The sequence below is a fragment of the Homo sapiens genome, chromosome 7 (genome assembly GCF_000001405.40).
Source record: "Homo sapiens chromosome 7, GRCh38.p14 Primary Assembly".
NCBI classification, from domain to species: Eukaryota; Metazoa; Chordata; class Mammalia; order Primates; family Hominidae; genus Homo; species Homo sapiens.
This window is the reverse complement of record NC_000007.14, coordinates 117,035,634-117,052,663: the sequence shown is the minus strand read 5'-3', so window position 1 is coordinate 117,052,663 and position 17,030 is coordinate 117,035,634. Positions and strand designations below refer to the sequence as shown.

The following is a 17,030-nucleotide window of genomic DNA, read 5'->3' as shown; positions in this document are numbered from 1 at the left end:
CTCGGCCTCCCAAAGTGCTGGGATTATAGGCGTGAGCCACTGCTCCTGGCCCTAGATTTTTTAGAGACTGGAAGAGAATGTTACTTCTTGGCACTGGGATTGTAAGTGATTGTGTACAAATTCTCTACTTTCCAATTTGTCTACAGTGAAGATATTTTATTCATAACAAAAAAAGTTATTATTAAAAGAATAATACCTGATGAGAATAATCACCTTCCTGAAACAAGTAACTACCAGTGTCAGACTGAAAGTTGCAAAGATATAACTCTAAAATCCTTTCTGGTGGTGCATAGAGAAAAAAAAATCAGCTGAAAGCAAAACTTATCAACCTGTTTAGTTCCCCATAAATAGAGTTCAGGCGCTAGTACAACAGGTCCTGGAGGAAAGATAATCTTTCTAGTTGAAATACATACCTACAAAAAGGAGAATGATGCTGGGGATAACTTAATTATGGCCCTTTACATTGCACCACAGCAATAAGTGATGGAGTTTTTTTTTTGTTTTTAAATCTTCTCTTTCATATCTGCCCTGTGAAATATTTCTGGGAAACCAGATCAGAATCACAAGGCCTTGGACACTAACGCTTTTACTTGAGAACACTGCATAAATTATTGATGACACAGAGGCTGCACTGTGTTCAAAGAGTCTGCAGCAGATGAAAAGCTTTTATTTTGGTAAGAAGCAAGAGAATGGGAATAAAAACATGTGGGTGGCTAGACTCTGCTAAGGGTTGCCAACCTTCAAATTTCCTTTGGCCTTTGTTGCATGTCCTTCTCTATTTCCTTCAGATAATTTATGTCAGCTAATGGCACTCCCATCCATCTCATTCCTCAAGTTAGGAACTTGGGAATCATCCTTGATTTCTCTGTCTCCCTCACTCCCCACACCCAATCCAACAAGCTCCATCAGTTCTACCATCCAAGTATGATCTGAATGAATCCTCCCTCTCTCTCCACCTTGACCATTCTAGTCCAGGCCACCATCACTTCTCATCTTACACAAGGACTTCCTAGCGGCCTCCTGCTTCCACTCCTGCTCTATCTATTCCCTCCTGTCCACTTTCCATATAATACAAACATTAGACCCTGTTGAGTTTTAAAACTCTTCAGTGTCTTCCCATGCATTCAGAATAAACCCCAGATTCCACACCATGGATATGAGCCCCTGTGTGACCTAGCCCTTGCCTCTGTTTCTTTCTGAACAGGCAAAGGTCAAGCTCTTTCCCTCTCAGGGCTTCTGCACATGCTGAGCCCCTCTCTGTAATGCTCTTCCTTCACAAGCCTGACTTCCTGGAAGCCTACATCTTGAATCTCAACTCCTCAGAAAGGCTTTCTCTGACCACCTTAGCTGTGTTAAGAGACCAATTAGCCTAGATCTCTGCACCCTATTAGGTAAATACATATATGTTGCCTATTTGTTTGTTGTCTGCTATATCCATTAAACTATGAGTTCCATGACAGAAGGGACCATTTCCATCTTGTTCACTGTTGCAATTCTAGCAGTTAAACACAGTAAGTTTTAATGAAAGGAAGAATACTTTGTTTCATTTGTAATTTGTGGTATTTCTACAAGTACAGTTGACCCTGGAATCACAAATTTGAACTGTGTAGGTCTGTTTATACGCAAATTTTCTGCAATAAACATATTGGAAAAAAAATTTGGAGATTTACAAAAATTTGAAAAACTCAAACCGCATAGCCTGAAAATATTTTCTTTTCTTTTTTTTTTTTTTTTTGAGACGTAGTCTCGCTCTGTCGCCAGGCTGGAGTGCAGATGCTCGATCTCGGCTCACTGCAACTTCCGCCTCCTGGGTCCAAGTGATTCTCCTGCCTCAGCCTCCCGAGTAGCTGGGACTACAGGCGTGCGCCATCACGCCCAGCTAAATTTTTGTATTTTTAGTAGAGACGGGGTTTCACCACGTTGGCCAGGGTGGTCTAGATCTCTTGACCTCGTGATCCACTCGCCTCGGCCTCCTTAAGTGCTAGTATCACAGGCGTGAGCCACCGCACCAGGCCTCAGAATTTTTAAGTTAGGTATGTGTCATGAATGTGTAAAATATATAGAGACGGTAGTCTATTAAATATATCATTCACTACCATAAAATATACACAAATTATAAAAAGTTAAAATTTATCAAAACCTACACACACAAACACAGACCATACATGGCACCATCCGCAGTCAGGAGAAATGTAAACAATTGTAAAGATGCAGGATGAAATCAGAACTGTATAAAATTAACTGTAGTGCATGCTGTGCTACTGTAATAATTTCGTAGCCACTTCTGTTGCTATTGAGATGAGTTTGTTTGGAGGATTGGCTTAAAACAACATGTGACATTAATCATCTCCATGGGAGCAGTCTGTCTCTCCAGTGAATTGCTCATCACAGCAGTAAGTGATCTCTCACAGGTCTGGCATATTTTTCTTTTTTTCTTTTTTTTTTTTTTGAGACGGAGTCTCACTCTGTCGCCCAGGCTGCAGTGCAGTGGTGCAATCTCAGCTCACTGCAACCTCCACGTCCCGGGTTCAAGTGATTCTCCTGGCTCAGCCTCCCGAGTAGCTGGGACTACAGGTGCCTGCCAACACACCCAGCTATTTTTTTTTTTTTTTTGTATTTTTAGTAGAGACAGGGTTTCACCGTGTTAGCCGGGATGGTCTCAATCTCCTGATCTCGTGATCCACCTGCCTCGGCCTCCCAAAGTGCAGGGATTACAGGCGTTGAGCCACCAGGCCCGGCCAGGTCTGGCATATTTTTCATCACGTTTAGTACAATACTGTAAATCTTTAATAACACCATGGAACCCATATGAAGTGTCACTAGTGATGCTGGAAAGGACCCCAAGAAGCAGAGAAAAGTCATGACATTATAGGAAAAAAGTGAACTGCTTGATATGTGACTGAGGTCTCCAGCTGTGGTTGCCCACCACTTCGAGATACATGAATCTGGAGTAAGAATCATTGTAAAACAAAGAAAACAAAATTCATGAAGCTGTCACTACAGCTATGCCAGCAGACACAAAACACATGCACTTTTTGCAAAATATCTTTTTATCTCTTATTGAAAATGCAGCTTTTATGTGGGTGCTGGATTGCTATAAGAAAGGCATACCTGTGGACTATAGTATGATTTGAGAAAAAGTGATGTCATTACACGACAACTTAAAGCAAAAGGAAGATGAAGGATCTAAAGCTAGAGAATTTAATGCTAGCAAATGATGGTTTTATAATTTTAGAAAGAGGTTTGGTTTAAGAAATGTCAAGATAACAGGAGATGCAGCTTCTGCCAACCAAGAGGCAGCAGATGAGTTCCCAGGTGCCATTAAGAAAATAATTGAAGAGAAAGGATACCTACCTGAACAGGTTTTCAATGTAGACGAAAGTGCCCTATTCTGGGAAAAAAATGCCACAAAGGACATTAGTAAGGAAGAGAAGGAATCACCAGGATTTAAGGTAGAGATAGGCGACTTCTACTGTTCAGTGCAAATGCAGTTGGGTTTATGACCTAGACTGCCCTTACCTATAAAGCTGCTGATGCCCAAGCCCTGAAGGGAAAAGATAAACACCAGCTGCCAGTTTTTTAACTTTACAACAAGAAGGCCTGGACAATGACAACCCTTTTTCTGGATTGGTTCCATCAATGCTCTGTCCTTGAAGTCAGGAAGTACCTGTCAATAAAAGACTGCCTTTTAAAAGTTCTTTCGATATTGGACAATGAAGTGGTCTACTTGCTTCCAAACACAGTGTCTCTAATTCGGCCTCTAGATCATGGAATCATAAAGACTTTTAAGGCTCATTACACACAATACTCTATGGAAAGGACTGTCAGTGCTATGAGGAGAACCCCAACAAAGGGAACATAATGAAAGTGTGGAAGGATTATACCATTGAAGATGCTATCACTGTTACACAAAAAGCAGTGAAAGCCACCAAACCTGAAACAATAACTTCCTGCTAGAGAAAACTGTGTTCAGATGTTGTGCATGACTTCCCAGAATTTACGACAGAGCCTATCAAGGAAACCATGAAAGAGACCGCAGATATGGCAAAAAGGAGCAGGTGGGGTGGGGTGGGTAAAGGGTTTCAAGATATGGATCTTGGAGAAATTCAAAAGCTAATAGACACCACACCAGAGGAATAAAACAGAAGGCAACTGGATAAAGATGAGTGCTTCCAAACCAATGCAAAATGATGAAGAAGACATAAAAATGCCAGAAAACAAACTGACATTAGATAATCTACCAGAAGATTCTGATTATTCAAGACTGCTTTGGGCTTCTTTTACAACATGGACCATTCTATGATCCAGACGCTGAAACTTGCAAATTTGTATCATATACAAATATTTTTAGATAAATGACAAAGCAAAAATTCAGACAGAAATTATGATGTATTTTTGTAAAGTTATACCGAATGTCCCTGCCTCTCCTGCCTCCCCTTTCACCTCCTCCATCTCTGCCACCCCTGAGACAGCAAGATCAACTCCTCCTTTTCCTCCTCCTTCTCGGCCTACTAAACATGAAAATGATGAAGAAGAAAACCTTTGTAATGATCCACTTCCACTTAATGAACAGTAAATATATTTTCTCTTCCTTATGATTTTCTTATTATGAGAATATAGTATATAATACTTATACAAAATATGCGTTGATTGACCATTTAGGTTATCAGTAGGGCTTCCAGTCAAGTAGGCTACTAGTAGTTAAGTTTTGTGGGAGCCAAAAGTTATATTCAGATTTTTGACTGCACATGGGTTAGCATCCCTAACCCCTGCACTGTTCAAGGGTCAACTGTATATTAATAGTGCACAACATAGAAAATAAATCCCTGACTTCCAAGCTGATTTCTGAAGTCATTGTTTACTTCTGCATTCGATTTCTCAACATGCCCTCTCAGGCCAATTTCTAGAATAAAAATTTGGCATGGAGACTTATAACCACGAAAAACATCCCCAGCCTCCAAACACCTGGTATTAAGCTAGCTAACCTAGCCTCAAATGTCACAGATTTCACATTACATCTGTTTAATCTAAACCCTTTAATTATTGCCAGCCTAGGAAGCTATCTAACAATGCACAGAGTATAAACGGCTAGACACTAGATTAATGTAAAATTGGATTGCAGCTAGACATGCACATTTGCATGGTTCTAAAATTTTCCTAGAGGACTCTCTAAATATAATTATATCATGTGAATACCATATCAAAGGGCCCTCCAGACAGATTCTGGGCAGGATTCAGTTCTTACAATCAAATGCTCTATTTCGTAAAACAATCCATCTCATGAACAACAAAGTTGTCACTCCCTGTAATTAAGTCGTTCTGAAGAAACACACAATTCCCAGGTTCTGTTTCCTCTGTCATAAAAACAATTTCTAAATCCTCTTTGCTTAAATGTTTAACATTTTCAACTTATAACTTCAAATGGGGCTTTTTACCTAGGGAAAAAAAGATGAGTGGTAGGAATCACTCTGAAGGATGAACCCATAAGAACATCAAAAACCATGGGCTTCCCTAGTTTTTAATGACCGATGTCCTTAGTTTAGTATTTCATTCAATGTATCCAATGCAATTTAGATCCAAGACCATGTAGTACAAATACTAACTCCTCCAGAAAACTTTGCTGTAATTATATATATTTACTTAATGTTCAATATGCGGCAGGCTCTGTCATTAAATCCTCCTGGCAACACTGTTAGGTAAGTACAATATTATCCTCCATTTCATAGATGAAGAAGAGGCTCAGAGAGGTAAATAATTTAACATTAAACCTGCAGTAAATGTAAGGACTGGGTTTTGAACCCATTAAGTCCATGTACTTAATAACTACTTTATAGCCATGAATACATGAATGAGCGCCTCATCTACAGAGAATTTCTGAGGTGTCATTTAGACTTTTATCAGATTATACCTGTCATTCTTCCATGTTTAAATTCTAAATCCCTAAGTGTTTCCATTACCCATTATTGCACAAATCACCTTTACATCACAAAATAAACATTTACTTGTTATATGGTATAGTCCAGGCCCTGTCCTAGGCATTGGTAAAACAAAGAAGAATAGAAGAAAGCCCCATTTCTGGTAGACTAACTGGAACACAGTGTAGGAATAACAGGTGGTACTGTGTGGGAGCAGCATGCAGTGACCCACTATGTCCCTGAGAGAAGCTAAAAAAGGCTTCATGGAAGTAACACATGAGCTGGAATGCAAAGGACAAGCATAGATTCACCAAGCAGAAAAGGGAAGAAAAGCCATTTCAGTTAGAGGGAAAACACTTTGCAGAGGTGTGAAACTGCAAGCATATGGTCTTTTAGGTGAAAAGCAAGACTTCATAGAGAAGTTGGAGTTGGCAGTGTCCCAGAGGAGACAGAAAAACGAAGCCTTGCCCGACAGGCTGAATACAGACAGGGAAGCGTCTTATATGCTGCGGGAAAGAAACAGGGTTCACCCTACAGGTGATGGTGGAGCTGTTAGAAAAGCAGCATGACACAGTCAAAAAAAAACACCACCAACAGACAGATATGGGTCTGACTCTTCCTTATACCACTTACAGGGAAGCTGGTTTTCAGCAAGGTACATAATTTCCCTAAACCACAGTTTCCTCATCTGCAAAACATAGATAACATATTCCTCATGGGATTGTTGTAAGGTGTGAATGAATACATTATCCCTCTATATGAAACATCTGGTATAAAACAACTGCTCAACACATGCTGGTTGCTTTCACCACTGGGGGTTAGAACCCCTCTAGAACTTGATTTCCCTTTAACTGAAAGGTAGAAATCCTAAAAAGCAGAATCCATTAAAAACTTGAAAGCCAGAGATGGTCCCTGTATCCCTCAGTCTCAGCACAGAGCTTAATACTTTGTGAGTAAATTTATTCATTCCACAGGTTTTATTGGTCAGCAACAACGTGCCAGGTCTTGACCTAATGCCAGGCATACAATGGGCCAAGCAGACAAAAACCCTTGTCCTTGTGGAGCTTTCATTTGGGAATGGGAGGCTAGAAGCTGGGGAAGATAGATAATATGCATTAATAGGTAAATTGTATCATCTATTAGAAAGTGATAAGTGCAATGGAGGAAAATTAAATAGGGTACGAGAGATGAGTGCTAGCAAGTAGGATGGTCAGGGCAGGCCTCATTGAGAAGATACCGTTTGCTCAAAGACTTAAAGAAATAAGGGAGTGAGCCATGCAGATATGGAGAAAGAACATTCCGGAAAGAGGGACCATGAAGCGCAAAGTCCCTAAGGCAGCAGTGTACCTGGTGTATCCAAGGAGAGCAGGCAGGCCTATGTGACTAGAGCTGATTAAGAAGAGGGAATACTATGGAAGGTAACATCAGAGAGGTATCATGGCCAGATCTGCTAGGGCTCTAATTCTGAGGGTGATGGAAAACTACTGGAGGGTTTAAGCAGAAGAGTGACAAGGTCTGACTGGAGTTAGAAAAAGCTCTCTCTGGCTGATGGGAAGCAAAGGTGAAGACAGTGTCACCAATAATAAGACCTCTGTAGTAACCCAGGCAGAAGACGGTGTCTTGGACTAAGGTAGTAATGGTGGAGGCAATGGTGATACATTTGAAGGTAAAGTCAACAACACTTACTGGCAGTGCATGTGGAGTGTCAGAAATAAAGGAGTCATGGATAACCTCAAAGTATTTGGTCTCAATAACTGGAAGGATGAAGCAGCCACAACCTGAGAAGGTGATGACTGGGTGAGTAGTAGGGGGGAGAGGCATTAGAAATCAGTTTTGGAACACATCTCACATATAGTATTTGTGAGACATCCAGCTGAAGATGCTGACTAGGCAACTGGGTGAGCAGGTTTGAGCTCAGGGAGGTCTAGACTAGAGATATGAATTCGGGAGATGTCTGCAAATACACAGTGTTTAGAGAGGTGAGACTAAATGAATGAACAAACATTAACTTTGAAGTCACAGAACGCTGGGTTTGACTCTTGGCACTGACAACAGTTGTGTGACCTTACACAAGCATCTTTAAATTTTTTCTGAATTCCTTTTCCCCTGAATGAAATGGTATGATAAAACCCCTACCTTAGGGGCCAAGGCAGGCTGATCACTTGTGGTCAAGAGTTCGAGACCAGCCTGGACAATATGGTGAAACCCCATCTTTATTAAAAATATTTTTAAAAATTAGATGGGCGTGGTGGCACACACCTGTACTCCCAGGTACTCGGGAGGGTGAGGCACAAGAATTGCTTGAACCCAGGAGGCAGAGGTTGCAGTGAGCTGAGCTTGTGCCACTGCACTCTGTCTCGAAAAAAACGCCTACCTTAGGGATCTACATGAATATACAAAGCACCTAGAAGGTACCTAGTACCTGCCGAGCTTTCAAATGATGCTGACTTTATCAGGCTTTTAAGCAAATGAGTGATGTTAACAAATTTGTTTTGTTGGAAAGATACCCTCATGCAAGCCAATCCCTGCCACTAAAACGAAATTCCATCAGATATGTAAATCAAAACTGCCAATGATCCCCTTTCTTTTCTTTATGAAGCCAAAGAAAAAAGACATCTAAGAGAGAAGGAAAGGGAAAAGGTAAGTGTTTAAGAACCGATCCCAGGGATGTGTACTGAGAAAGAACAACGTAGGTTGAAAACTAATGACAAGAGGCAGAGTGGTTCAAGATGCAGAGTAAGTCCTGGTCTTAGTAGTCCCTGATAAGAGTATGTCCTCTCAAAAACTCTCTGACCCTAAAAAATGCAAATGTAATTAAGGAAAACTGGCTAAAAAGTTAAGAAATACAGATCATTATCTTCATCTTCAGGCAAAACAGGCATTAATACTCAACTGGAATCTGCAACTGAGAATGGAAATAATACTTGCTATCTCACAGGGGTGTGGTGATGTTATTTTGCAAGTTTGGACTTAAAAATTGATAGCACTAATAATAAAATCTGAGGAACTGAAGTAACGTTTATGAAATAATCTGAGGGATTGCAATGAATAGCAACATCTTTGTCTTATGATGGTGTAGACAATCACTTCTTCACCTTGGGAGATGAGGTCAGGCTCCCTTTAGACCCCATTTATGACAAGCTTCCATTGGTTAAAGGCAATTAAACAATATAGGAAACTCCCTGACCTCTTCTGAGAAGGCTTGTTGACTTGGGAATATGAGGCAGTTGTCACAAAAGTAATTTATGTTTAATCAAGTAAATATTTCTTGACCTGAAAATTTAATTTGGCTCAAACATGACTTCTTCAAATAGCAGACAGAATATTCTTAGGCCACAATGGAAAAACTGAAAAGGAATAGTCTCAAAGGTCCCAGCAACACATACCAATGCTTGCTTCATTAGTCATTATTTTCATCAACACCAATTTCTAACAACAACTCTAAGACTATAAGCAAAAATAATTCATCTTTATTCCTCCACTGGGAGGCTTTAAGTCAAAATAAAAAATTACTAAGACTGAATACATTTTCCTCCCCCAAATTGCTGTAATCAGACGTGAGGAAGTAGAGAGCTAGAAAATATCCAAAGATTATTAATAGCATGTGTTTTGTGATGATTCAATGAAAACTCATTATTACATGTCTATTTAATCCTTTATGGATTACATTAGTTCTAAAACAAAAAGGTGAATTGTTTTATGTGTTGCAATGAGGTTCAAAACATTACTTAATCCATTCCTAAACAATTATATTAAAAACTTCAAGTAAAAAAATTATGTATGAATTACAATCATGATGAAAGAATATATATAGAGTGGAACCACTATGCTAAAATATATTATACAGTTAACATAAAGGACCTAGAGATTATGTCAAATCTCATTTTAATATTTAATTGCATGAATTTTCCCTTAAAGGAAAAAAACCTCTAACTGGATCAAAGATTCAAAAGTAAAAAAGGAAAGCACAAAAGTACTAAAAAGAAAGGTGGGAGGTCTATATATTTTTTTAAAATCTTGGAGAAGGCAAGTCACAAAACAAAAGCCATAAATGAAAAATTTATAAATCTGACTACATGAAAATTTAAAATGTCTACAAGAGTGAAGAATGCCATAAGGAAAAAGACACATTGAAGAACTCACTGGCAATCATGCCACCGTGTTTGGAATTATATTTAATAGGGAATAAAGACAGAGTGATACTCGTCTAATCTCTGTCTTTTAATATCTTATACTTCCCACTTCATTATAATTAATAATCAAGGTACACTCTAGCCCAGACAGAGGCAATAAAACAGTATAAATTGGATGACTCTTTTGGAGAGTAATTTAGTCATTTGACCTTTAAATTTATAAACTGATCTATCAACTCCATTTTGGGGAATTTCTGCTGCAAATATATTTGTGTATATTCACAAAGACTTGTAATAGCCCAAACTGAAAATAGCCTAGTAGTTCCATCAGTAGAGAATTATTTAAATAAACTGTAGTATGGTCATACAAAAGACTACTAGAAGCTGTTTTTAAAAAGAAAGTAATTGATCTAAAGATAGTCTCTACATCTTTTTTAAACACTTGATTAAAAAAGCAAAAACTCAAATAATACAAAAGTGTGGACTGTAAATTCCTGTTTGTGTAAAATAAAGAGGAGAAAATACGTATGTGTATTTATTATGCAAGAATATTTCTCAAAGGTTATGTAAGGTCATCCACATTCCTTGGCTTGTGGCCCTCTCTCTCCATCTTCAAACCCAGCAAAGGCAGGTTGAGTTCTTCTCATATCGCATTACTCTGACCTCTTCTGCCTTCCTCTTCGACATTTAAGGACCCTTGTGATTACACTGAGCCTACCTGGATAATTCAGCATAATGTCCATATTTTAAAATCAGTCTATTATCAACCTTAATTCTGCCTGGTTTAAACCTTAATTTCCCTTTGCCATTTAATATAACATATCCACAGGTTTCAGAGATTAGGACATGGACATAGAGATTTTTGGGGGCCATTACTGTGTTTACCACAGGTATGGGTACACAGTTCAGGGAAAGAGGCTTTCTTATTTTTCTTTAAGGCAAAATATGCTTTATTGAAATACCCTATGCAGCGAATACATATATGCAGAGAGAAGGGGCATTTATATGTGAAAAGTGATCTTATATATAGATATATAAGATAGATGTCAAAAGTAATAAAGCAAATGGGAAACAATTTATAGGAAAACATGAAAAAGAAGAAAACATTCCAGTTAGCACCAAGCATTAATCAAATAATTTCTCCCAGTAGCAACCACTTTGCAGACCTTCATTCTTTGCTAATATTAATCCTTTAAAAGTATCCATACCACTGTCTTATAGCTCTGGCTAATTTAGTGACTGTAACATGGTTTTTTGGCACTAAACATCTCTAGGCTTCACTGGAAGAGAAAAGCAGAACACTCCAGTAATAGCAGAATTTGCAATGAATAACCAATCAATCTGCTTGCTCATCTACTAGAATTACATTCATTCTCAGTGTAGAAAAATGAACATGTGGTAAAGATTCAATTCTACATTGCCAGATGACACATCTCGAAACTCCTTACATGAAAATCAGCTGATATCCTTGCACAAACATCACTCAGGCTTTCTTGTTCATGTTGAGGGCCCTCACACCACAAGACAGATACAGCCCTGAAGCGCTGTTCCCCAGAGAAATCCTTAAACATTCTACAAAGCACCATCTACCAATGGTAACTTTTACTCAATCCAGAGAAAAGGAAAGCAAAGGGGTAGATAGTGAAGGAAGTAGGGAAGAAGAGAGGCAAAAAGGTGAATAATAAGGTTTGATGGGATGTGTATGTGTGTAGTTCCATGGAATAAGTTCTACAGAATGAAATTAGTAAAGAATATTCTTCAAGATAGTAGATTAATTCAGAGTTAATTGTGGACCCTTTTGGCAATGACATTATTGCATAGATTATTTTAAATGCAAATATGGAAGCCTAAATATATCAGCAACCTGGCCTCCCAGTAAATGTTTTTCCCAAGAGGAATTGGACCAATCAGCACTTCATAGTGACCAACAAGTACAACTAGACCCAGTGGCAAAGAAATGAATTGGATCACTAGATGAATCCTTAAAAAGCTTTACCCATGACCATCCCCTAAAGAATTACTATGAAGCAACCTGCTCCGTTGAAATGTGCTGCCCAGAGAGGGTATTTACTATGCGAAGAGCAAATATATACCTACCCACTAAACATGTATTGAACACTAGGAAGGCAGTGTATTAGGGGATTTACATTATACGTAGATATACAGATATCTGTAAAAGGGTGTGTGTGTGTGTGTGTATGTGTGTATAAAATTTAGTGAATGTTTCTAACTCTTTTTTTTTTGAGACAGAATTTCGCTCTTTCACTCATGCTGGAGTGCAGTGGCTGCGATTTCGGCTCACTGCAACCTCTGCCTTCCAGTTTCAAGCAATTCTCCTGCCTCAGCCTCCCAAACAGCTGGGATTACAGGCGTCTGCCACCAAGCCTGGCTAACTTTTGTATTTTTAGTAGAGAGGGGGCTTCACCATGTTGGCCAGGCTGGTCTTGAACTCCTGACATCGTGATCCACCCACCTCTGCCTCCCAAAGTGCTGGGATTACAGGCGTGAGCCACCGAGCCCAGCCTCTAGCTCTGTCTTTAAAGCAGAGTGCCCTGCTCAAGAAATGTAAGATTTTATGATGATTAATAACATCCAAATCCTACCTGACTGAATTTCTTACAATGAACTGTTTTCATGTGCAAGCATGATGGCTCTTCTTGGGCTCTTCTAGCTTCCATGACAGATTATTTCCCTTGGGACACCTGTCCAAGATTTGCAAGATGCTTGGCCAGGCAAGAGAGTCTGATTTGCGACTACAGAAGATGTGGGATAACTGGCCCAGAATGAGTTCAAGTCAGACTTACCAAGATCTCAGCCTAAGCAAGGGTGCTACACACCCTACTGGGAAGTACTGAAGTGCAGTGTAGAGAGGAGGGATTTGTTTTCAGCCACCTTAACATAAAAAACATAAATTTTTAAAAATAAAATAAAAAGATGTATTTTTCCTACATAAAAGGCAGAAAGCAAATGATATTAGTGCATTCTTCCATGTCTTTACAAATTCAGAGTTTGGATAAAATTTTTTTTTTTTTTTTGCTTTTACAGACAGGGTCTCACTCTGTCGCCCAGGCTGGAGTTCAGTGATGCCATCAGGGCTCACTGCAGCCTCGACCTTTCAGGCTCAAGTGATCCTCCCACCTCAGCCTCCTGAGTGGCTGGGACCACAGGTACATGAGACCATGCTCAGCTAATTTTTTATTTTTTGGTAGAGACAGGGTTTCCCTATGTTGCCCAGGCTGGTCTTGAACTCCTGGCCTCAAGCAATCTTCCTGCCTTGGCCTTTCAAAGTGCTGACATTACATGAGCCATCATACCCAGCCAATATTTTTAAATATATAGCAAAGAAGTACAAATTTCCAACATAACCTGGTAATAGGAAGCAGGTATCTTAAAGTTTGGCAAGCCTTTTGGCCTCCAATTCTAGTTCCAGGAATGTATCCTAAGGAAAAAAGCATGGTTACGTGCAAAGATTTAACCTGAAGAATGTCTGCCACATCTATTTATAGAGAAAAAAATGCAAAAAAAGAAAACCTAAGTAACCACTCATAAAGGATTAGCTAAAAAAATATGTTTCAAACTACAACAAAGTATTCTGTGGCTGTTAAATTCAGTATTATGAAAAGTATTTATTAAATATTATTAAATGAAAAAAGGCAGATTGTAAGTAATATATATAAAATAATATCCTTTTACACAAATCACTCAAAAACTGTAAGACATATTAAGAGAAGATATCATTGAGTGGAAGGATTTGGATGTTATTAATCATCATAAAATCTTTCATTTCTTGAGCAGGGCACTCTGCTTTAAAGACACAGCTAGAAACGTTCACTAAATTTTATACACACACTCCCCCCTTTACATATATCTGTGTATCTGCCTATAGTGTAAATCCCCTAATACACTGCCTTCCAAGTGCTCGATACATGTTTATCCACATTTATACTTATATAACTATGCATTCAACACTTACTATATGTGGAGCACTGTACTAAGCATATATTTACATATGCTGTCTCATTTACCTTTACAGCAAGTTTATGAGCAGAATATTGTCCTCAATTGAAAGATTATAAAATTGCCCAAGATGACTAGCCCAGTCAAGGGCAGAACCAAAATCAATCCCAATCTGTCTGACTTCATAGCTCAGATCCTTCTTTTTCTTCTTCCTTCCTTTTTTATTGGTATTAAGACATCCACAATGAAAATGAACTCTGACATGTTAAAAAAAATTGCTTTAGACACTGGAAAGATTAAAATGCTGTTGTGTTCTAAAAAATAGCTCTCACCCTAGCATTAAGAAATGACAGCATCACTAGGTGTTAATCAATACCCAACAGAGAAAAAGTAGTATTAACAAGGTAGACTAAAACTACCCTGCATAGGTTAATGCAGGAACCAAGAGTGAACAAGCCTTTCCCAGCAGTAGGAACTGTCACAAACCCTACAATTTGCTGTGGTCCCTTTATTTAGTGTACTGGGAGTTTTTGCCATTAGCTTGGGAATGACCTTTAGTAATGAAGATGACTCCAGGAAAATTACAGAAAATTATTCTTTAAAAAGTTATCACATTGGATCTATCTTTTTATTGTCAAACATCTACCATCAGATTTTTTTTCAGTTAAGGCTATAGCAATAAAAAGTCCAGCCCCTTCTCCTAAGCAGTCCCCTTTAAAGAACACAGCTTATATCAAGATATCAATCATCAACATCTCCACACACTGAGCACAATTATCTGGACCAATTATTTCACCGCAGATTTAAATTATTTCCCAAAGCATCCACTGGCCATTGAGAAGAGAGCTTACAGGTTGGGAAGCGATGAGCTAAACCATAATGTCAGATACTGGATTTAATCCTATCCAGAAATAATTTCACAAAATTCAAGATGATGCTATTTGCCATATAATCGGAAGTCTCATTTGATCCCTCACACATTCAGAAGCATAGGCTAGCAGTAAAAGACCTTGGGGAACACGAGAACAATAGAAAAAAAAGTCTTTATGTGCAACACAATGTGCTGAACATATAATGGATCATTTTAATAGTTTCATGAAAACTGAATAAAACATATTCTCACCAGCCCCAATAGGACAATGTGAAAAGATCACAGCACTCCCGTATCTCAATTCTGAAAGAAAAGGTCTATTTGTAACTCAGGTTACAAGGTGATGTTAGATGCCATGGCCAACCTTTTTGGATCAGTCTTTTGCCATTAGCTCATCTGTTTTGTACCTCATTCTAATTGATTGCATTTGACTGCCTTCTTTCTTTAAATGGCATCATAAAATCCTTTCCTCATCAGCCTGAAATTGCCTCTCCTTGGGAAGCTTTTGTGGTAGGGCTGTGCATTAAGGGCATAACATAAAAATGTAATACTGCATATTTTCATATGAAATACAAGGTCACAGGACCTTCCTCCCAAATGCTAAATTATCCTAATCACCAGTATAAAATACCAATGTTTAGGGGGAAGACTGCCTCACAAAACGTGGCTCAGGCAACTGCTCCGGTTGTCCATGCGACTTCCATGGCAGCTGTTCAGGGCAGAGCTGCTCTCTCCACTTGTATTGCCAGCATTCCTAGAGCCACAATGCTGGGTCCAACCTGTGGCTTTTTACTTGTGTTAGAGAAGGAGGAAGCTTATTAGGAAGCACACCTGCTGAATTCTGTAAGCGGCCTTTAGGCTGAAGCGCTGAAAGAAAAAAAGTCTGAAACTGTTATCACACCTACTCATACCCCTAGGAAAGGATTTGAAACTGAGTTTAGATTGAGAGATTCAAGCAACTAGGGCTTTCTACCAAAATGCAGAGCATTTTATTATGATGCAAATATCTCATAATACCAAGTGGGCAGCCAAATCCAAAAGTATATGATATCATATCATACCATATGTATATGATATATCATACCATGGGAATATGATATATGGCTACCCCAGTGAAAGACAATTGCCACCTAAATGCCCCTGTCCCTGCTTCCTTTCTCTTTTTAACATGGTTCTCCCAAAAGGGGCCTTAAATTATCATATCTCATTTGCACAGTAGCTGGATAGAAAACAAAAAGTGCAGAGCCTAGCACTGCTGTTTACCCAGGCTTATTCCTACTGTCAATTCTCAAAATCAAATAAACAAAATAAAAGCCCAGTCAGCTAAATACGTAAAATATTCAGTCGTTTCCTGACCAGATTAACCAGTTCCACTGATCATGATAAATGTCATGTTATCCCTTATTCCAGACATTATGTTTTTGAGGGCCACACACATTACAAATGATAAAATATTCTGCATCATTTGGGCTGACAGCCAGTCACTTGTAGCAGTGACCTGATTGCCTGCAGAGGACTGGTCACCATTAGGGAGGTGGCTAACTGCATGAAAGACAAAATAGAAATGTTAGTGCTTCAGGAACAAAGAGTTCCAATAAAACACAGGAAAGTCAAAACTTAATATGCGGAGTAAGCTTGCCAAACAGTACCAAACAATTCGGGAGATTTATTAAACAGCTAGTAACTATTTCACTTGTCAGCCTCAGACTCCACAAATGCACCCAGGTCAGAAAAAGAAAAACCAGTTACCTCAGGCTTATAACGCTAATATCCTAAGAAACCTCCAGAATCAGTTGTGAAATAGTAATAAAGCTATAAACTTCTTGTATACTTCTCAAGAATTCCCAATCATCTGGTCGTTCATATTATCAGCAAAAATTTATTGATTCATATTAGATCCTGAACTAACGTATTCTTTAAGAACCATCTATCCTACAAAAAAATGTATTCACTCAGGAAAAAAAAAAAGACTGATTCTAATTTTTAAAGCTACAAATTAGAGTACATTCAATGCCAAAGAAGAGGAGAAATTAACTCTATAAACCTAACTCAGTTTTATCTACTTAAAAATGTGAGGTAGAGAAAATTCCAAAAATATTCATGAAAACCAATGTCCTCCTGCTGGCAGCAGTGGTTATAATGGAGATATTTCCC

The 17,030-nt window shown here is 38.7% G+C and overlaps 1 protein-coding gene across 17 annotated transcripts in view, besides 1 other annotated feature; it reads right to left on the bottom strand.

Annotated features, from left to right (window-relative positions):
• The window catches only part of ST7 (suppression of tumorigenicity 7), a 276,676-nt gene that overhangs the window by 177,513 nt on the left and 82,133 nt on the right, over nucleotides 1-17,030 (bottom strand). The gene's annotated exons all lie outside the window — the stretch shown is intronic.
• Nucleotides 11,305-11,624: an enhancer, noted in NCBI's record as "active region_26542". NCBI's record gives its function as "activates an Ori minimal core promoter by ATAC-STARR-seq in GM12878 lymphoblastoid cells {active_cell/tissue: GM12878}" and the evidence as "EXISTENCE:reporter gene assay evidence [ECO:0000049][PMID:35858748]".